This window comes from Homo sapiens, chromosome 14 (genome assembly GCF_000001405.40).
Source record: "Homo sapiens chromosome 14, GRCh38.p14 Primary Assembly".
Lineage (NCBI taxonomy): Eukaryota > Metazoa > Chordata > Mammalia > Primates > Hominidae > Homo > Homo sapiens.
In genome coordinates, this window is record NC_000014.9 from 93723576 (window position 1) to 93746109 (window position 22534).

Genomic DNA, 22534 nt, shown 5'->3' on the forward strand with positions numbered 1-22534 from the left:
GCCAAGTGCACTCATTCCAGGTGGTCAAGCCCAGCCACCGTGGCTTCTTCCAGGAATGCAAGAGGCAAACCCACAATTCCTCCCACAGTGCATCATGCTTTGTGCAAAGCACTCTCCGTCACAGAGATTTCCTTGTCCCTTCTCTCAGTGGTCACCTTAAGAAGCTAGGCCTGGAGTAAGAGATTCATTTCATGGGGAAACTGAGGCTTAGAGAGGGCTTAATTTGCCCAAGGACGCTCATCTGGTTTGTGGTGGGGCCTGGACCACCACCCACTAACACTGTGTCTTGGCCAGACATCTATCTTCCCATTATTATTATTGTTACTACTATTTTGGAGATGGGGTCTTGCTCTGTTGCCTAGGCAGTGGCAACATCACAGCTCACTGCAACCTTGCACTCCTGAGCTCAAGTGATCCTCCAGCTTTAGCCTCCTGAGTAGCTGGGATTACAGGTGTATGCCACCAAGCCTGGCTAAGTTTTAAATTTTTTGTAGAGACAGGGTCTCGCTATGTTGCCCAGGCTGTTCTTGAACTCCTGGCCTCAAGTGATCCTCCCGTCTCGGCCTCCCAAAGTGCCAGCATCTTCCCATTTAATCAGCATTCCCAGCAGGTATTCCCATATGAGCTCTGGGACCTCATCAACTTGGGAAAGCCTTCCTCCACCCCCCTCTTAGAGATTCTGCAGAGTCCTCCAAGAAAACTGTCTCCTTTTGCTTTAACTCAGCATATCCCACACGTGAATCTGAGAACACCATTTATGTAGACGCTAACAGATACTCTCTGGAAACTCTGGGTTTACAGGCCTCAGCTGTGCTACCTTGTTTATGTCGGGATCCATGGGAAATGATGGACTCTGCAGCCAAGCTCTGCCCTGGGCCTTTTGCTCCCTCTGTCCCCTTCATCCCCGTTCCTGTCCTACCCACCCCTTTTCCAGAAAGCCTTAAGCAGCTCTGATGTTGCTGGGTGTGCCTGACTTCTGACTCCATGAAATCTGCATGGCCTGGACAATTTGTGGGGGTGACATTTTCTTACAGTGAGATCCTGTGCTCCCCAGTGAGGCCGCTGAGGGACTCAAGTGGGATAAATATATCACGAATACATGAAGGGAAGAAAGGACATCAGCATCAGGATTCCAGAAAATATTAACAGGCAGAAAAGAGTCTGGACCCAAGCCCACACTGCATTCTCCTTAATACATATTACATATTGGGCTTAGGGCTAAAATAAAAACAATTGCAACAGGTCCAGATCATGGGAGATATGGCTTAAGGGCCTTCTAGGGTGGATAATGAAGAAATGAAGGCGGCATGGAGCTCCCTTAGAAATAACTAAGCCTGGATGGCTCAAGGTTTCCACCCTTTTGCGGCTAAGGTGAGGCGGTCAGTAGGATTTCTATTGGCAGGAGGCAAGGAGACAGTTCTAAAGGCTTCCTGCCATCTCTGAGACCCCTTCGTACTCGCGGGCCCTGGGGAAGAGGTGGCTCGGAAGAGCTAAGCAGGAAGTGAGCCTGGCAGGAGGACCCTGGAAGGCAGGGTGAGGAGGGGGCCCAGGGCCTTCGCAGCTGCTCAGCCAGTTTCCCAGACAGGAAAGCAGGCAGAGGGGCTTGGCAGAGGCTCGGCACCTGTGGCAGGTAAGGGGCTCGGCACCTGTGGCAGGTAAGGGCCCCAGACAGGAGCATTCGGGAGCCCGCGCGTGGTGATGGGGGAGGGTGGCAGCCGAGGGCTCTCCTGAGAAATGGTCATGATCTGCTCCCCTCCTGCCACCGGAGCTGAGTCCCCAACCACTCTCCTGCCTGGACTGCTGCTCCCAAAGCCTTTCTGGGATTCACTGCAGCCCATGGAAGCTGGGTGTTCCCTAAAGCGAAGACGGCTCCACCTCTGCACCCCCCCAACTCCACCCCTCCATCAAGCACGGCACTTCAGGGTGACGCTGCGGAAGTGCTAAGCGGCAGATGTCAAGGCTCAGTAAACCCCCGCCCCACCATTTTCTGGCCGTGTGACTTCAGGCAAGCTACATAGCCTCTCTATGCCTCAGTTTCTTGTCTTTGAAATGAGCACAATAGTGGTGTCCATTTCATAGGCTTGTTGGGAGGATTAAACACGTTAGTCCATGTCAAGCACTTAGACAAGCGTCTGGCATACCGTAAGTGCTCCATAAATGTTTGTTAGCTCTCAGTACTGCTGGGGAAAAGGTGTCACCAGGTAGCTGGCCCCACCGGCTGGCAGCAGCCAAGGTTCTCCAGTCTGCACAGACTTCCTACCTAACGCGTGCCCCGTGGGGCTCCGGAAATGCTAGAGAGAGTTGTTAGGACCCAGCCTGGCTCTGCAGCTCTGTGAGTCAGCTGAGGCTGGTCTCATTAAACCAAGAAGAGGCATTTCCACCCTGGTCCAGGCAGAGATGGCCACAGAGGGCTCCCTAGATGGCATGGTTCCTAGAAACCAAGAGAGAGGTTAGTGAGACTTTCCTTGGCGGCACCCAGGATTCCTGCTTGTAGGAGGGTGGGCTCTGCCACCTTCAGACTTCTTGTCCCCTGCCCTGGGCTTGGAGGGCAGCAGGCTCCCACATTCCCTGCTCGGAGTGCCGCGCGGACAGCTCCAGCCGCACATGCCAGCAGCCACGAGGGGCCCCTGCAGAAACTGTGCCTCCACCGGCATCTTTGGCCTGGGCAAGGAGGGCCAGGACCCAGGTACCCCTCTTAGGCCCTGCTGATCATGATGTGACAGCCTCCCGCTCAGCCTGCTGCTCTGTGGGGATGGAGGAGATGGAGGCAAAGAACAACTCTGGGAGCCTAAGAAGGGAGGCTGTCTTCCTGCCTCATGCGCCCCTGGGAGAAGTGAAAGTTAAAGGTCCTGGACTCACCTCTTATGAAGGTATTCATCCCCCGACTGCCCACCCCGACACCCTCCCACACCCATACACACACATGAACCTGCGTAACACACACAGGCACGTACACATAGACACATGTACACATGCACAAATCCACATACACACACACTATACACATACACATGTACGCAAACACACACATATATAATATACACATAGACACATGTACACATGCACAAATCCACACACACATACAATATACACATACACATAGACACATGTACATATGCACAAACCCATACAAACATGTACTTACACACACACATATATGTACACACAGGCACATACGCATAAATGTACAAATCCACACACACAAACAATATACACATACACACATGTACTTCAACACACACACAATATACACATACACACATGTCCCTACACACATATGCACACATACACATATGTGCACATGCATGCACACATACATATGAATACACATATGCATATGCATACCTACAGACATATATCCCCACACTCATATACACACACACTCAGCGTTCCATGATGAGACTCCTCTGTAGACCTCAGACTTCCCCAAACCTGGGTCAAGAAGCTACAAAAAGCCTTTCTGAGCCTCGAGGGCGTCACCGTGAGAAGCAGCAGCCCCACGTCCAGCCTCCATCGCCCAGGGGGGTGGGAGACAGGCATGCGGCAGACAAGCGTCCTCACAGCCAGTGGGACCCACTGTCTGGACCATCCCCTGGGATCACCTGTTTGGCCGCCTCCGCTGAGCTGCGGCGGAACTGGCGACTGTGCATTTCTCATGCTTGCATCCTCCCCTGGGAGCTGTGGGCCGAGGGGAGCAGAGAGGGGTCTGCCGGGGGAGGGGCTTCTCACAGGCGTGACTCTCTCTCCCCTTGAGCACTGCTCTGCAGCCTGGGATTTGATCTAGGGCAGAGCCCTTCCCAGCCCGGAGGCTGAAGAAAGGATTGCGGGCTCATGCACAGAGCCCTGGACAGGGACCTCCAAGCTAGCTCAGGCCTCGGTGACTGTCCTTCAAGCCTCTGAGATGCCAGAATGGTGCTGGGGGATGGAGATCCCTGCTGGGGATTCTGTGGGCAGAAGCGGCCCAGACGGTGTCCATCTCACTGGGGGTCTGGGCACCCGCCTCCCTGAAACTCCAGGGACAATGCCTCCCTGCCACCCGCCTCTGTGCTGGGGATGAAGGGGCTGGGGAACACCTCTGGGTAGAAGGGCCTTCGGCTGAGGTCTGGTGGAGGTCCTATACAGAACAGGTGGGCACAGGCAGACACATGTGGGCATGCCCTTGGACACCAGCCCCAGGTCACGGAACCCCCCTTCACCTTGTCTTCCTGTCACAAAACCTCCCTTCACCTTGTCTTGCTGTCACAAAAGGCCTTCATTGGTAATGGGAATACACAAAGCCATCTGTTCTTCCTAGAGGCTGGGTTTCCAGGAGAGACCTGCCCTGAGCTCCTGGGCGGTCACGCCCCACCAGGGCTCCCCTGCATCCTACGCTGCTCAGCTGTCCTGAGCCAGCCCAGCCCAGCCTGGTCACCATGGGCACTACAGAAATGCCCGGCACTGCTTCGGGGGCTCCTGAAGCAAACAAGGAGGCTGAGGGGGTGTCTCCCCAAGAGAAGCGGCCCATCCCCCTCCCCCGGACTCCCCAACCTCAGGCACAGGGCGCCTCTCTTCACGGGCAAGATTCATTCACAGGTGGCTCCACCTCCATGGTCCTGTGGGTTCGGCTCATTTGAGTGCACACAACGGACTCATATGGCCCAAGGACACTGGCCTCGACCTGGCACCAGGTTGGTAGTCATCTGACCAGCAGTACACAAATGAACAGACTGCAGCAAATTAAGAGAGGAACTAAGACGGCAAAGAACCAGGCGTCGAGGGAGAGAATAGCGGGAGGCCTGGTAGGCTGACAGGTCAGCGAGGTCCAGGGGATGAGAAGGACCCTGCCATGCAAGGAGCAGGACAGAGCTGGGATGGAGGCCTGTGCAGCTGGAGAGTCCTGAGCGAGGGCGGAGAGGAGGAGAAAAACACCAGCAGGAGCAGTGGGGCAGAAGCCAGCCCCTGTAGGGTGCAGCTGGCCGGGGCAAGGTGTCTGGGTCTTATCCTGACTGCAGTGGGCGTCACCTGAAGACTTCTTAAATGGGGGTTCCCATTTACCCTCACCCTGCCCCATGACCTTGACCCAGCATGTCTGGAGAGATGGGTCCAGAGAGGCATGCATTTCTTGATGACAAAAGAAAAAGGCCCCAAGAAGCAGGGATCCGTCTGGGTCTCCCATCAGCTGGCCCAGAGCACACACACCCTCAATCTGCTGAGCATTCTGTCCATGACTGTCCACGGTGCACGGAGGCCTGGGCTCCATGCGCCCCACACCAAGGATGCCGGCAGATGAAGCAGGCTCGTCCCTGCTGCCTGCATCACACGGCAGGATGGGATCTTATCACCCATCATGGAAGATGGGTCTTTATAGGGGGACAAATAAGTCCAAAGAAGCATTCCAGCCCAGGGCAGGTAAGGACCTCGTGCCCCTGCCCCTTGCTGGCCTGACCTCTTCCTGGATGGAGGATGTGGGTGTGATGGTGAGGACACTGCATCTTCTGGGACTCCAAAGAGCCAAGCCCCAGACAGCCTAGAAGGTGGCAGTGAGGCCCAGGGGAAGGCGCACTGGCCAAGGAGTCAGAAGATCGAGTCTTGATTCTGGACTAAGCACAGGTGCCAGCTCCTTGAATTCAGCCCAGGTTCCAAAGGATGCAGGATAGTCTCTGAGCAGCCAAGGCCATGCATCAATGCTCAGCACTTGCCCTCAGGAGGCCCTTCCTTGGAGTACACTAACTTTGACCTGACTCACAGTACAACCAGGTGTGGTGATTCTGGGTTGGATTTGGGGCAGTGGGGAGGAGGGAGTGTTGCTACAGGTACGCATGTGAACAGCAGGGAGAGGTGACAGATGGGAACCACATTGAGACCCTACCTGGCCAAGAGGCTTTGGCCCATGAGATAACCCCCAGTCTCAGGGCCCCAGGAATGCACCAAGATGCATTCAAGGTGAATTTCTTGCTCCTGGAAGTTTGTGGTGAGTTGAGGGTGGATGGAGCAGTTCCACTCCTGTCCTGATTCCTGGTCCTCACTGCTGGCCTCTGGGCCTGGCCAACCTTTTCTTCCCCATGCCCCTCCTTTGGCCCTGACTCTGCAGATCAGCTGAAGGCCAGAGCAGGCAACGAGGGAGAGAGGGCTGGGTTGGCCCCTGGCACAGTAGGTGTGTCCTGCGGGGAGGAAGAAGAGGAGGTAGATGGCGGAGCTGCTTCACTGCATTCACATCCTGGGAGTGTGTTATGCGCAGGTGGGAGAGAGGCTGTGCTATTCCGAAGCTTGGAGAGGGGACCGCTGAGTCAGGGTACATGCGTATGGGGAAGGGAGAGAATGGCAGGAGGCCTACTGAAGAAATGGGGTTGAGAGGGAGGGGGCAGGAATGGCAGGGGGCTGGGAAAACTGAAACTGGTGAAGGGGTGAGGCCCAACACTTAAAATTTGGTGCATGTTATTTACACCAAAAGCAGACGATTTCACTCACCCAGATAGAGAAAAAAAATGAGTTTACTGCAATTCTAAATAGAGTCTGTCAGTTTAAAAGGTGGACTCTGGCAAGTCTGTGGGAACAAGCCTCCATTCACACCACAGAAACCACCACTGACCAGTTTCTATGTGCCAGGCATCGTGCCAGGCACCGTCGGGAGAGAGATGAGTAAGATGAGATGACCAATCCCCATCTACCGTGTGTGCACACAACCACGCATTCGCAAGGGTGTGGGCACACGAACACCGACATACACCTACCTACAGCAGAAAGCAGAATTGTAAATTCAGGGACAGCTATAACTCTAGCAGTTGGACAGGGAAGAGAGAGCTCTATACTCGTCCAGGATGACATCTCAGAGGAGGTGGCATTTGAGTTGGGTCTCCAGGGAGGAGCAGCAAGGACTCAACTGGAAGAAATGAGGGGAAGGACACTGACCAGAGAGACCTCTGGGAGTGCTCGATGAGCCAGGAGGAGGGCAGGAAACCTCTGGAACCTGAACCATTTCTCTCCCCACCAAGGCCTCAGTTCCCACATCAGTAAAACAAGGGATTGGCCCTTGACCATGAAGGTTCATTCTGGCTCAGACTCCATAGGAAACTCATTTCCACCCCTCCCTGGCATTCCAGGTGCCCCCAGGTAACCAGATCTTCTCTATATGCCACACATTCAGTAAGAACTAACCTTTCTCTGGGCTATCCCAAAGCTCCAGAAAGAGTGTAAATCCTAAAAAGAAAACTAATTTCACTGATTAACTTTCTATTGAGTCTATGATCCAGGAAAGATCTTGGGAAAAATATCCATGAAATAATCAAGCTAAGGAGATGAAAGACTGGAGTTGGAGAGGGAGGGAGAGAGCTGAGGGTAGCAGGTTCCCAGGGAGGAGCCATATTGGGATCATCCAGCTTGGAAGGGTGCTGGAGAGGATGATTGTAGGGTGACAACTGTGCAACAGGCTCAGAGACCCACAGTCCACCTGGAGAGGAGCATGGAGCCCCCAGGACAAAAATGGAACTGATAAATTTGACTGTGTTGAGAGGAGGCATTGTTAACCCCAGGAAAGGAAACAGCATAGTACGCTATGTGGCTCAGCTATGCACAATATGTTCTTTGTTACACTAAGGTAAGCACTGAATAGGCACAGAATCCCATACTGAGCCCCATTCTAGGTGGAGAATGAGAAGAGGGGAAGTATGTTGTATGTCTGTACTGCAAGGGTGCTGGCCTTGGTATCTTCCACAGTGGAAAGTAAATAGATGGTGCTTAAAATGGAAAGAAAATTTAAATAGCAGTATACACATCACTTAGCATATGGAGAGAAACATCAGAAGAAACAGCTAACTGTTGAAAGTGGTTGCCTCTCAAGAATGTGACTTGGGGGAAAAGACAGGGGGCTGCTGTCTTTCTTAAGAGCCTTGGGAGCACATTTGACATTTTAAGCCATAGTATGTATATGTATTCCTTTGATAAAAATTAAAACTAAATTAAAAGGAGGGAATAAATGTGCAATGCTCTAGCCATACTTTCTAATCATTAAGCTGTCTCAAAAGGCATGCACAACATGCCTGACTCTTTGGAGAGGACACAACCTTCACTCCTTTCTCCTTCTCTTCCCCATTAACCTGTATTTTTTTTCTCTTCATAGTCTTTAAGATCACCTCATTTATTAATTTGCTGGTGTGTGTGCTTAATCTGCCTCCTCCAGCAGGAGGAGAACAGGGACTGTCTTGTTTCTTCTGCATCCCTTGTGCTTAGTCCCCAGCACACATTAGGTGCTCAATAAATGGATCAACACTGAACAGTCCTGTGCCAGTCAATGGGTTTTCTAAGGCACCATCAAAAAGGCTTGAGCATTCAAAAGTGCTCGTTCTACTGAAAGTGGCTCAACCACAAACAGCTGATGAGGACCAGAGCCCAGCAATAAGTGGTGCTTAGGCACAATCACGCACACTCAAGCCCACATCCAGGAAGCAGCACGCTTGCTTAAGGTCAGCAATTAACGTCTGCAGGGTCAGCCAAACCGTCCTGAGACCACGTATTGGTCTTTCTGCCAATTATACCAGTAAGTGAGAGGGAAATGGCTGTCCAGTGGCTTCATGGCAATTGGGAACAGACCCACGCCACAGATGGCCAATGGAGGCAAGGTGTTCATCCTGTGCCAGCATGGGCGTGTCTCCGTGCAGGGGGTGGGCATCATCTCCCCTCAACACAGGAGCTCTTCTCTGAGTGAAGGGTGTGGCTGTCAGAGAAGCTGCAAATGCCACCCCAGGAAAACAGCCACATCCCTGCAAGTGCACAGGCCTGTGGGGCTCCCCAAGCTGGGATCTGAGGTCTACCTGGGCAGCGGGTGCCTTGCCCCTTGGAGCTTTATCTTGATGACTCTCTGTGGTCATCACTGGTTTTAGGTTTGTCTCCTGCCCTGGACGGACACTCGTGTTGTCTCTGCTCTTCTGCCTCTCCTCTGACTGTGATCCACCGTTCTTTGGGGGCAGTCTGGTCTGATTGATGTCCACTTCTTCCCCCGAAAAGGTATGTGCAGCATGGGCAGGGACTGTGCCGGTGGTGCCCACTCCTGTAGCCCAGTGCCTGGCACCTGGTCCTGGCACCTGGCCCAGCCCTGGCGGGCACAGTGATCAGCATTTATACGTCCAAGAGGCTGAATGCCTGAGTGGTGATGGTCCCCCTGCGATCCAGGATGGGGACACAAAAGGCTGCTCGGAGATTGTCATTTCAGAGAGGGAAAACGGAGGCCACAGAGGGAAGCGATACCTGCTGAGCCCAGCTGAGCCCAGCTGAGCCCGGCGGGGCTGGGGCTGGGAAGGGAACAGGCCTGGGGACTTGACTCCCAGTTCTGGGCTCTTTTAACAAATCAGGCTGTCCTGCTGTCAGAAACATGTGCCCGTCAGGCCTAGGGGTGGGAGGACACCCAGGTGCCAGGCACGGGGGTACCCAGCACCCAAGGGCTCTGGGGCCTGCTCTCCATGTGGCTGTAGATAAAAAGGCTTGTTTACAACAAGCCCGGGGCAATGAAGCCACCAAAATGCATGTTGCATGGGCTCCCTATGGCTGGGAACCCCCTCTGGAGTTTGGGGTCATTGACAGCAGACTTGGGGGCCACTGCTCGTGCTCATGCAAATTCAAGTAACACCCTCCCCGCCCAGTCCCCTGGCCTGGCTAATGTACCTCTTTAAGAAACCTCCCACCCCACCTGGCTACCAGGTCTGGGCAAGGTGCCCCTCCTCTGAACACCGTCTACCCAGTGCACAGGTGGGACTTGGTGAAGGCTTGCTGAGTCACAGGAGAAGTGTTATTTCACCTAATCTGCGTCTAGCAAGTGCTAGTGAGACTCTTCCTCCTGCCAAGGTCCAGCCCCCTTTCAGCCAGGCCTTGGACACAGATGTGAGGGCCCTGCGGGGTGCGCCTTCCACAGCTGCAACTCAGCCCTCGGTGCCGCCCGTCCCTGCCGAGGCCCGTGTCCCGGCAGCTGACACCCCCAGGTGCCAAGGCATCTCCAGAGTCACCTCCTCCCTGACCTACCCGATTCTAGAAACATCCTCTTGGCAACCTGGCTCTGAAAGGCTGTGTTGGGGCCATTTACAAAGATCTCTTGGAAATTCCTAGGACTCGAGGCTATGAGAGTTAAAAGAAAAAAAAAAGAGTAGGGTTTATCACTAAATTTTCCTTTTAATGGTTTTGCAGTGACATGAGATACTTTTGTTTCCTGAGAGAAAAGGCATGTTTTAGATGAATTATTGACCAAAAACAATTGGCCGTGAGCAAGAAATCCTCCACTTCGCTGGAGAGAAATGTGGACAGGCAGCTGGCCTGAGTGAGGATGCTATCTCTTACAGCCCCAGCTGAGGTCAGCGCCTGGGGGGGCAGTGGGGAGCACTCTGCTCTGTAGGCGGGGTTGCAGCTTCTGCTGCCTCCTTCTCTCTCCACCAAGGGGTTAGGCCGCCCTCCCCAGCCTCCTTCTAGGTGGGTTTTGGCAGTATTGGGCTCTATTTCTGCCTTCACCCTCAATGAACACAGTCCCCTCTTGTCATTAAATATCTGTCTGCTGCACCAGGGATACTCTCTCTGGACTATGAAGACCTCGAGGTCAAAGGGCTGGGTCCTATTCCTCGGTGTCCCCAGGTCTTGGTCTGCAGATGGATGCACAGCCTGGTGCAGGGCAGCAAAGGGGCTGCGCAGCATAGCGTCGGCTTACACCCCAACTGCCTGCTTCACGGGCTTTCTGCCCTGTGCCCCCGGGAGGCCGACCTTACTGACGGTGTGTCCTGATTCCCCTGCTTCTTGGGTTTGGCCAGTGTGAGGCACCCACGGGAAACCTAAGCATGGAGAGCTGCTGGGAGCAATTCTTCCCCCTTCCTGCCTGTTTTGGGGCTGCTTCTCTGACAGTTCCAACCGCAACTCCTGCTAGGCGGCCCTTCTCCTAAGTGCGAGTCTCTCACGAGGTTCCCACGGCACTAGTTTCCCGCTTGCCTGTCTTCCTAGAGGTGCTAACCGCCCCCACTCTGCAAGTCCCTGAGTGCCTCACCTGCCCCACTTGCTCTCTGGGCCTGCCCAAAGCGCTGGAATAATCCTCGCCACCCGCTGGAAGAAGCCCCATCCATGCCCCAGAGGAGCACCACCCACACCCCTGGAAGAAGCCCCGCCCACACCACATAAGGATCCCCGCCCATGCCTCTAGAAGAAGCCCCGCCCACGCCCTGGTGGAGCCCCGCCCCTGCCCCTGGAAGAAGCCCACTATCTGAAGTCTGGTCCACTGAGCCATCTGGGATGAGTTCTGTTTTTTCCAGGGTGCTAACAGACCCAGGAGCCAAGAGCTCAGAGAAAGTGGAAGAGGACAGACAGGAGGCCCCTCTATAGCTGCTCTGAGATGACGCCCCTCACACCCTTCCTGGGAGCCCCCAGCCCACCTGAGACAAAGCCCAGCAGGCTACCGCTGAGCAGCACTGCCCTAGTGAGCTATTAATGTGAGTTTGTTCTCTTTCCCTCCTCCGGTAGAAGCAGGTAGCACATTTCTTCAGGGGAGGTTTGGGGCAGGGAGGGAGGCAGAAGTGGCTCAGGTGTCTTTTGTAAGAACACGAGTTTATATTAAACAGATTATTCATGTTGAGCCTCTCCCAGGGGAAGTGGGGCGTGTCTGCAAGGAGACTGGCAGCCATGGCCTGGTGGCGCACACTCTTCCCCCAAAAAGCAGCTACCGAAGCTAATCTTCAGTACTTCCTAGTGTCTAGTCACGGGCAAAGTCACCACTCAGCCTGGTGACAAAGGCCTCCCCAGTCAGGCTCACGGCTTCCCAGCCTCATCTCCTGCGTCGCAGGGGCTTCCTGGTGTCCGGCTGCTCCCCTCACAGGTGCCTTGACCTAGAATGCCTCCTCTGCTCCGCTGCTTAAAACCCTCCTCCCATTCCAGCAGGCCCTCAGCTCAAATGCTTTATGGTCCAGATCAGAATGCACCGTGACTCCTCCGGGCAGCCACAGCGGGCTGCCAGCAAACCTCGCACAGCCTCATGGAGCAGCCTGTAGGCACAGCCTCTGTCTTACCTCTTTGTATGCCCACCAAGCCTGGCACAAAGAAGGTGCCTACAAAACACGTGGGAATTGGATTAGCTATGTCCCCTGGGAGACTCCAACCATCCACTTTGGTTTTCTTTCTTCCTTTTTTTTTTTTTTTTTGAGATGGAGTCTCGCTCTGTCGCCCAGTCTGGAGTGCAGTGGTGTGCTCTCAGCGCACTGCAACCTCCGCCTCCCAGGTTCAAGAGATTCTCCTGCCTCAGCCTCCTGAGGCTGGGATTATAGGCGTGTGCCACCATGACCTGCTAATTTTGTATTTTTAGTAGAGACGGGGTTTCACCATGTGGGTCAGGCTGGTCTCAAACTCCTGACCTCAGGTGATCCACCCGCCTCCACCTCCCAAAATGCCGGGATTACAGGCGTGAGCCACCACACCTGGCCCCACCTTGGTTTTCAAGACTAAGCCGCTACCCAGAGTTACAGGGTCTTAGAGCATTGGGCCTTTCTGTCTGTATGTCCTTCTGGCCTCAAAGAAGCACAGACGGACCTCACCAAACCCCGAGTGTCCCCTCTCCCACATCCCTGAGGAAGGGCAGGCAGGAATACCGAGGTCTGTTCTTAGCCCAACACTGGAGTCGAACTCGTCAATAACCCTGAAACACGGTGTGTAGTCAGGGCTGGGCTTTGGAGTATTTTTGTTCTGGGTTCAATTTCTGACTCCATTGCTCACCAGTTGTGCCACCCTGGGCAGCTCTCCAACTCCTTAGAACCTCAACCTCCTCTGCAAAATGGAGCTGACTGGGAAAATGTAGGTGGAGATGAACTAAGAGAACGTTGGTGAGGAGAACCCAGTGCCCGGCTGAGGTATTGCTGATTACAGTTATGCCTGTGTTATTTATCAGTGTTTTTGGAGACTGCCCTGCAGCATGTGCATTTTGGGCAGAGGGGGCTCTGAGTTTGGGTTCTCGGCTGGGTGGCAGATGCCCAGGACATGGCCTGTCCTGCATGGAGCCGCCATGCCCGGGCCCTGCCGCCAGGTGTCCTCCCTCCTGTGCCCCGTTACCAGGACGCTCCTGGTCTATTGGCTTTCTGTGGCCCCCCATCCTGTGTGCCTGACTTGTTTTAAGACTTTTACCTTGATATTTTACTTTCTGCTTTTGAATTACTAAAGTGAAATCACATAGAACAACCAACTTAAAGAGTAAACTTAAATATTTTAGATGTTAGGAATGTTCTTAATGTGGCCCTCTAATTTTGGGAGTCAGGAAATGTTTTAAAAACTTCCTTAGAAATATTATATTGTTAACAACTCCTATGACTCTTTGGTGTTTTGCAACATTTTTGTATTTTTCACGTTGCACTGGGCCTGACATATAATTGGTGCTAATCAATTGCTTGTGGAATCAAACTCTCTAAAGTGACAGAGACATTATTTCTGAGATCAACTTTAAAATATTTCGGCAATGAAAAAGATCAAAGGAAAAATAAAATAGATATAGCAAATACAGCAAAATCTTGATGAACTGTTGAATCGGGGTGAGGGTAGATGGAAGGTCACTGTATATTCTTTCTGCTTCTTATATGCTTAACAACTTTTATAATTTAAAATAATGATACGGGATGTGTGTAGGAGCCCCAAGCCCAGCTGGGGTTCCCTTCGGCTTGAAGCTGGGTGCAGTGAGTGAGCACTCACCTTTTTATGGCTTTGTAGCAAATGATGACAAGCACAGTCAGAAACACCAGGGAGGCACAGCATACGGCAATGATGATCACCAGCCCCGACCACCAGCTTTCCTCAGTGGGGCAAGAGGTAGAGTTGGGAGCTGAAAAAGACAGGAGCAGCCTGAGTGTCACCTGGATGAGCTGGTCATGGCCAGTGACAGAGGTGGGACCATCATGGGTGACACCAACAGAGGCGTGGGGAGGTCACTGGTGGGACCATCATGGGTGACACCAACAGAGGCGTGGGGAGGTCACTGGTGGGACCATTATGGGTGACACCAACAGAGGCATGGGGAGGTCACTGGTGGGACCATCATGGGTGACACTAACAGAGGCGTGGGGAGGTCACTGGTGGGACCATTATGGGTGACACCAACAGAGGCACAGGGAGGCCACTGGCATCCATCACCTGGCTGAAGGCTCCCTGACCTTTCCGGCCATCCCTGCCCCCACCCTGCGGCAGGTGACATCATGGCTGGCCCCCAGCCAGGCTGGCCTCTGAGCGCCTCCATCCCTGCCCCGGCGTGCTCAGAGCAGGGGCTGAGCGCCACGCCCCAGGCCATCCATCCTCCCTCGGCATGAGCTAACTGACAGCAGGGTCAGGTCTAATTCCCCATAAAAAATAACAGAGCATCTCATTCTCTCAGCTGAGGCACTAAATCTGGTTCCTCTGCAGGCGGGGGTGGGGAGCGGGGCTCACAGGGGATGCTGAGGGAGGAAGGAAAGAAAGGGAGGACTGCCAATGTCCGTTTCTTGAGCTAATTTCTTGCAAGACGCAGACTTTCTCCCTTCTTGGATTCAGCCCGTGGGGTGGGTATTTGCCGCTGTCTCAGTTTGCACGGGGGTGGTCAAAATTTGGAAAAGTGTCACTGACAAGGCACCGGACACTGGTGCTCCAGGGCCCTCTCTTAGTCACTCAATCCGTGGAGTCCTTGGGGTGAACCTGTCCTCCCTCCCTTGGCACAGGCTGTCTTGGGGTGGACCTGAAGGACTTGTGTCAGTGAGGCCGGTTCGCTTTCCTCTGAGAAAAGCAAAGACATCACACAGCCTCATCCCAGGGCTTCTGGGAAGACTCAGACACAACTGGAAAGGAGTGCCCAGAATTGCAAAAGGAATGGGAGGGAGAAAGGAAGGAAGTGAGAGGGAAAAGAGAAACAAAGAGGAAAGGGGATGATGAGGGAGGAAGGAAGGGATGGACGGATGGATGGATGGACAGAGAGACAGTATTAACTTTGGACAGGTCTCCAAGACGTGAATATATGCAAAAGAATCAGAAATACACCCCAGACTTGGTGTCCACTCTATGATAGATACTTTGAGGGGTGCAACAGTAAGTGGGGAACCAGGGGATGACTTCCCAAAGGGTAATATGGATGGCTTCATTATTATGATTTTTATCAAAGTGTAATCTACATCTAGTGAAATGCACCCCCCATCTTAAAAGTACCATCCTCTGAGCTTTGACAAATGCATGCACCAGTGGAAGCCGCACCTTCAGCATGACACAGAATATTTCCAACAGCCCAGAAAGTGTCCCCGTGCCTCTTTCTAATCAGTCCCACCCTGGGGCAACCACTATTCTGATTTCTAAAATCACTGATTAGATTTGCTTGGTTTTGACATTCACATACATGGAATCATGCAGTGTGTATTTTTTTTGTTCCTTTATTTAGCATAGCGTTTCTGAGATTCATCCATGTTACTGTGTATTTCAGCAGCTCCTTCCTTTGTTGCTGAATAGTATTTCTTTATATGAACATATCACAATTTGTTGTTGTTTTTTCTTTCTTTTTTTTTTTTGAGACGGAGTTTCGCTCTTGTTGCCCAGGCTGGAGTGCAGTGGCACGATCTCAGCTCACCACAACCTCTGCCTCCTCGGTTCAAGTGATTCTCCTGCCTCAGCCTCCCAAGTAGCTGGGATTACAGATATGCGCCACCATGCCCAGCTAATTTTGTATTTTTAGTAGAGACGGGGTTTCTCCATGTTGGTCAGGCTGGTCTCGAACTCCTGACCTCAGGTGATCTGCCCACCTCGGTCTCCCAAAGTGCTGGGATTACAGGCATGAGCCACTGTGCCTGGCCACAATTTGTTTATCCGTTCACCTGATGACCAACACCTAGGTTGTTTCCAGTTCTGACTATCTTGAATAGAACTGCTATAAGCATTTGTGTACAAGTCTTTGTACAGACACATTTTCCTATTTCTCTTGGATAAATATCTAGGAGTGGAACGGCTGGGTTGTGTGGTGTGTGTATGATAAACTTTAGAAGGACATGCCAAGCTGTTTTTCCTGAATGCTTGTACCTTTGTACATTCTGTGCAGCATGAAGAAAGGTGGAAAGAAGGAAGAAGATGGCAAGAAGGGAGCAGTTACTGATTTGTTGCAGCTGGATTAGGAGATCCAGGGAGCCACTATGTGCTTCCTAGTGAACCAGCACCGAAACCCCACTAACAAATGCAAGGTGCCTAGGAGTGAGCCTCAGGTGTCACAGAGACCAAGTCGAATCAGAAATTCTTCCTGATGGTGGTTCACGCCTGTAATCCCAGCAGTTTGGGAGGCCGAGGAAGGTGGATCACCTGAGGTCAGGAGTTTGAGACCAGCCTGACCAACATAGTGAAACCCCGTCTCTACTAAAAATACAAAAATTATCTGGGCATGGTGGCAGGCACCTGTAATCCCAGCTACTCAGGAGGCTGAGGCAGAAGAATCGCTTGAACCGGGAGGTGGAGGTTGCAGTGAGCTAAGATTGTGCCATTGCACTCCAGCCTGGGTGACAGAGCAAGACTCCAGCTAAAAAAAAAATCAATAAATAAAATAAAATAAAAAGAAAGAAATGCTTCCTGAGAGATGGCTGATAGGAGGATGCCACTGGGCCTCTCAGTCAGGGCAGCACCAGGCCTTTAGAAACCTCAACACTGAAAAGATACAGAATATAGCATTGAAAATAGGAATGAACTCTAAAATAAGAAAAAGGAGACCCAAAGGGATTCTCATTTTCCCCATGATGAACTTGTTCAAGGCTTTCTTGGTGAAATATCAAACAAAAAATCCTTCCCTCCAATTCCTCACCTTGGGGTATCCCTGACTTGGCTGTGTCTTCCTGGGGTGATGCCCCCACCTTCCCTACACTCTGGGAAGTCAGAAGTCACTGCTGGAGAGTCAGAAATATAGCCAGATCATCCAAGGCTGTTCTGTCTACACTGCACCCCTAAGCCTCAAAGGTCTACCTCCTCATTTTCACCACAAAGGGAAGCAATTTTGGTTTCCATGGCTCTACTTCTTCAGGCTGTGACACCTCTGGGAGAGACCCCAGGGCCATGCCTGCCACCAATGGTCCAGGACCACAGACAGTCACACCGACACTCCTGTGGCTGGGGACAGAGCTACCAGTGTGTGGTCTCAGCCAGGGGCTGCCACACCCCCTCCAGTAAGCACTTGGAAATATCGGAGTGGGTGCTGTCTTTGGTTGTTGCAATGTGTGATCCCAGCAGCTACGGATGTTAATGACAATGAACTGGATACTCTCACACAAGGCAGAATTGTCCCTTGAAAAATACTAACAGGGCCCCTGTTGAGAAATTTCATCAACTTGATTGATTATAAGCCTCATAGGGAATTTGGCACTAAATTTCACAGTGCCTCTCTTCTTTACATTCTCTGTTAGTTAAGTGGGAATTTTCTTTTGCTATTCCTTTTCAAACATAATTGATACTGAAAGCAGTGAGCCCATGGTTCACAGTATCCTGCACAGGGTCCCCTCTAATATTCTGCAAGCACACTTATCACCGCATGTGTATGAGAAAACTACCAGAGGCAAAAACACTAACGGCTATGAAATGAGGGAGGCATTTTGTGAAACCTAGTGAAGGCATACATCTTGGATTTTGCTCAGAAAGCCAGCTGTTGTGTTCAAAGAATGCATGCTTATTTATCCTTGCTTGAGTCAATTAGAGAATGTTGGAGCTGGAGGAAGTCTAGGAGGTGTTATTTCAGAAAAGAGAATACAATATGGAGTCCCAGGATCAAGAAGCAACTTTCCCAAGGGCCGGGGTTGGGACCCTGATCTTTGGGCTACAGCTGGGTCTATCCCTGCCTGAACTTCCCTCCCATGGGGTGTGGCCAGCACCTCTTTCTGGAGGTGCTAAGACAGCTTACATGTGTACAGACTGATGGTTCATATTTGAGAAGATAGCATCATGAAGGTGCTCATTCAGTCATTTGTTCATCCAGCAAACTGAGCACCCTCGGTGCCTGGCAGTGTGCTGGGATCTGGGAGTACAAAGATAAATCAGACGTAAACTATGCCTTTACCAGGGCTGGTGCTAGCCGCCCCATGAATTATTAATTACAAAGCTAAGACCTGATCATCTTGCTCAGGAGTCTCCGGGGGAAGAGGCACGCATGAATTGCTAATACAGAAGGTGAAGGTTATTTCAGGGATGCGGGTGATGCTTTGTGAGAGACAGGTGGTCAGACAGGGAGGCTGAGACAATCAGAGAGTGCCAAGTTCCAGGACTGAGGCTACCTGGGCTCTCTGCCTCCTCTGTCACCCCCTCTACCTCCCAGCCAAGATTCTGCAAACACAACAGAAAGGCAGGAGTTGACATCTCAGGGGTCGCAACACCTTGTCTTCCCCGAGGCTCAGTGAGGCTTTGTCCGCTGTATTCATTTAACACTCCTGACGCCTGTAAAGACGATGAAGCTGGCAACCAGAGAGAGCAACTGCAAGCTGCCCAGGCTCAGTTTTGCTTCATCAGAGGAGCAGCTGTCTTCTCATTATGAGATGCATCGTTAAAAGCTTTGGACTTCTGCTTCCAGCCAAGATGGAGTAACAGGGGCCAGATCTGCCCTCCTGTCTGAAACATCCAAAAACCATACCAAAGATTTGAAACAGTGGTTTTTAAAAGAGGCAACCAAAGACACTGATTTCCCAAGAGACGATGAAACAAATGAGGTGAGTCCTACCATAGGCCCAGCTCACTGCCTTGAGAGAGTTTCCAAAACAGTAGTGCAGGAAGAGAGAATCCGCAGGGCCTGGCCAGCTCCATAAGTTGGAGAGATTCAGCTGAGAGTCCAGAGAGTGAACAACACAGATGAGGTCTCTCCCCAGGGGAACTCTGAGAAGAGTAGAAGCAGCCAGTGGTGAGCAAATACACCAATAAATATATAATGGCACATCGTGGCAAGTGCTGGGAAATAAATAGAAAAGAGAGGTCCCATGGATGTTTGCAGAAGAAGCAGGTGGGGTGGGTAGCTTTGGATGTGCCCACCTGTATGGGGTCCAGGGAGGCTAAGGAGACCAAGGAGACCAGAAAATTCCCTTGGGCAGGGTAGGGGAGGTGGACGTGTGGACCCACCCAAGGTCCAATGCATGAAAGGAATGTGTGAGGTCAGACAAGCCCTCCAGGTACTCTTGGTGGCAAATGCCTCCCCTATCGTCCTCATAGGGTTTTTGTGACTATCAGAGGAGATGATGGAGGCAGCCTTTTGGTGGGTACCAGGAGTAGGAAAGACTTCAAGACACTGCTAGGCACAATGGCGCATAGCTCAGTTATATTCCCCTTTCAGAAGTGGAGAAACAGGCCACACAGCCAGGGGCCTTGCGACGGTACTCACAGCTAACTCAGTACATACTAATGTATGACCCGGGCAAACAGCTTTCCCCGTCAGAGCCAGCTGTTGGAGAGAAGCTGCACACAGGAGGTGCTGGACTGACAGGAGGGAACAGAGCCAGGGATGAATGAATCAAACAGATAGCGAGTAGGTTGGAAACAATCTCGGTTTTGCAAGATATCTTTAAATAGGAATGCCGTCTGAGTCTAGAAGAGGGGAGTGAGAGCCATGTTCTTGGTTTTAAAATTGCTTCTCCACTGTGAGATGGAGGCTTTATCCACTGCTGGGTCTCTTGACCCTGTGAGTGGCAGCCCACTCGCCCCCATGGCTCCCTGGTTCCGGAGCACAGCCTGAGTACCAGACATTGCTGGTGACACCATGGGCATGCTGGGGGCCTCTGGGCCTCAGAGGCATCATTAGATGGCTCTCCTAACTTTCCAAGTCTTTGGGGACTCAAGCCCTGGGCTGCATGAGCAGCTTCCTGACTGTTCCCCAGGAGCTGAAAGGACCTGGCGCTTCACTGGCCTTGATTGTAGTCAGGTGGGAGCTGTCACTGCAGTTGCTGTCTCTGCTTCCGGCTTCCTGAGCAGCCCAGCTCCGGGCCCATCAGGCGGGTCACAACCGCTGACAATGCAGTCTAGTGCCACTTGTCTAGGACCCCCCTGTGCCGTAGAGATCAACCTCCATCTCCCTCAAGGAGCCGATGTCGGTGAATGTGCTTCCCAAGACTCCGAGGTTAAGTTCAGCCTTTGCTGTGGGAAACCGAAGGCAGAAGCACCTGGGCTGGGAGTTGTTTCTCTGTCTTAAAACCAGTGTGGGCCTGGTGACTCGGCCATGGGGAGCAGAGGTGAAAGGAGTCACAGCCCTGCTTCAGGGACAGTCTCATGGCACCGCTGGTCCTCAGCGTGTGCAGGGGTCCCCTTTGGCACCACTCCCTCCCGCCCACCAAAGTGTCTTGAGGAAACTGTCCAGAATGTCACGGAAAAGTGCAAATGCACGGGACTCGGTGCGCGCTGAAAGGGGGCGGGACGCTGAAAAGCACTTAGGAACGTGTGTCCTCTTCGGCCCTGCCTCAGCCAGCTTGCTGAAGCGCCCGCTGGTTTTGTCTGTCTCACAAGGACAGTGTGGGGGCCGGAGCTTTGCTAAAGATTTGTGTGATGCAGAGTCTGTTTTGTAGACCCTTTGGACAGAGGCAGAAACTGAGGATCAAAAAGGGGAGGACCCTGCCCGAGGCCACACAGGGACCAGACCCAGGTCCTCTGGTCTCTCAGCCTCATTTATGAACTGCCCCCCAAAGCACCACAAAGGACGCGGTTTCTCAGAAGTCTCTTCTGGGCTGACCACCCTTTCCCTGCCTCAGGGCCCCCAGCCCCAAGGCCACTGAGGAAGGAGTGGTGTGGGGGTGGGGCCGGCCACTCTTCTGCGGTGCCTGCTCCCACACCGGGTCCCATTGTCTCAGGGACACAAGGGCCGCCTCTCAGGCCACTGCTCTCCATTCCTGGGCACAGGGTGCCCTTGCGGAGGCCGGTGCCAGGGCGTCCACCTCCTATGGCGGCTGGGGGAGGTCTGGAGAGCCAGCCTGGGTGCGGGGCTGCTCACTCACTCCTCACCCCGAAGGCAACCAGAGCATGTGGGCCGCACTTGAAAACCACAAATACAAAATCAGACCTCGATGCCTTGGCCAGCCTCTGCAACAAGCCCCTATTTCTACAGAGAAATGAGAAATCTCCTTTGGGATGTGACTGGATGAACACGGTGCCCTTGTGCGCCTGCAATTCAGGGCCCCCCCACGCCTTCTCTGCCAGTGGGAATTTGGCTCAGGCTTCTGGGTTTAGCATGGAGACCCCCTGTTTCATAAGTCTCCCCAATTCCTCCCTCCAATCACGGATTCCTACAGCAGGAAGCTCTTGGCTGCCCATAACCACAGGTGAGAGGCACCCGTGCCTGGCCCATGCTTGACAGAAAGCCAGGGAGGTGCATTTAGCCTCCCTGGGGCACAGAGCTCCTGGGGGTGCCTCAGTGGCCTGCCTTTTCCAAAACTAAGGGACACACCCTTCTCTACTGTGCAGGAGGGAAGCAGCTTGTGGGCACTGTAGCCTAAACGGGTCTCTTGCCCTGCAGCCTGTAGCCCGGGGCGGGGGTGGGAGGGGAGTGTCCCCGGGAAGTGATGCTGGCTTGGCCTGTTTTGGGGCAGTCTGTCTCTTGCCCACCTCCCCCATACTGCCTCCTGCATGCCAACCATGCCCCTTCCTGCCCCAGGAAGCTGGGCTTCGGTGGCCGGCAGCACTGAGCACGTCCCCCCTCTCACCCACCATAGACAGGAACAGTGGGCCTGTGGATATGCATAACGCCTTGGTCAGCCTGTGGTGGGTGGTTTGGCAGGAAGTCAGACCTCAATATGCCACCAGGACGGTCTCAGGGCTCCAGAGCAGCCCAAGCCACAAGGGTGGGCCAGGCTGGACTCTTCGCTGAGCTTCATGGGGAGAGTTGTCAGAGCCCCGGGTCCCACCCTCACTGCTGTACGAGTGGCCCTGAAAACATCCTCTCTGCCCTCAACCTCTTCTCAGCAACTGCTTTGTGTGTGCAGCGCCTTTCAGGCCCCCAGCCCCAGCCTGGTGGGCCCCCTGTGCTGGAGGCATCCAGCAGGGAGTGGGGCCTCCTTGCCCCACGCTCCTCAATACCGCTGGGGCAGTGCCTTCCTCCTGGCTCAGGCCCCCACCTGGGCATTCCCTCTGCCCTCTGAGTGGCCACATCCTGTGGCTGCTCCCTTCAACCCCCTCTCCACCTTCTTCCTGACTCCAGCCCTGTGCTGGGTCTGCTGGGTTATCACGGTTGTCCCATCCCCCTGCCAGCCCCTCCTTCCTGGGATATCACATCAGCTGCCCAGTTCAGCACAGTGGTTATCCACACGGGCTTTGAATCAGAAGTACCAGGAGTTAAAATCCAGATCCTGACTTTGGGCAAGTCATTGACTCTGTTAGATTTAATCTCAGTTTCTTCCACTGTAAGTCGGGGGAAGGCAACAGAACCGCCTCCTCAGAGCTGGTGCAAAGACAACGTGAGAGACACGATCAGAGAGCCAGCAGCAGACACCCCTCCGCCGCTGCCCCCATCCTTCCCCTTCTCCCTGCAGAACTCTGATTCCCCTCCTATATCCCCCACCCTCCAGAGGGCCTAGGCTTTGGGAGAGGCGGGCTCAGCCTAGGAGGTCGGTTTTCAGGGGTC

At 53.1% G+C, this 22534-nt stretch overlaps 1 protein-coding gene across 3 annotated transcripts in view; it reads right to left on the reverse strand.

Annotated features, from left to right (window-relative positions):
• The window catches only part of PRIMA1 (proline rich membrane anchor 1), a 70697-nt gene that overhangs the window by 5278 nt on the left and 42885 nt on the right, over positions 1–22534 (reverse strand). For 2 of the 3 annotated variants that reach the window (XM_011536456.3, NM_178013.4), the window contains exon 4: positions 13666–13795. In XM_011536456.3, the coding sequence (XP_011534758.1) occupies positions 13666–13795 (130 nt within the window). Of the gene's footprint in view, positions 1–6865; positions 10081–13665; positions 13796–22534 lie in introns of those variants that run through there. The other variant, XM_047430966.1, reaches the window with a different exon arrangement.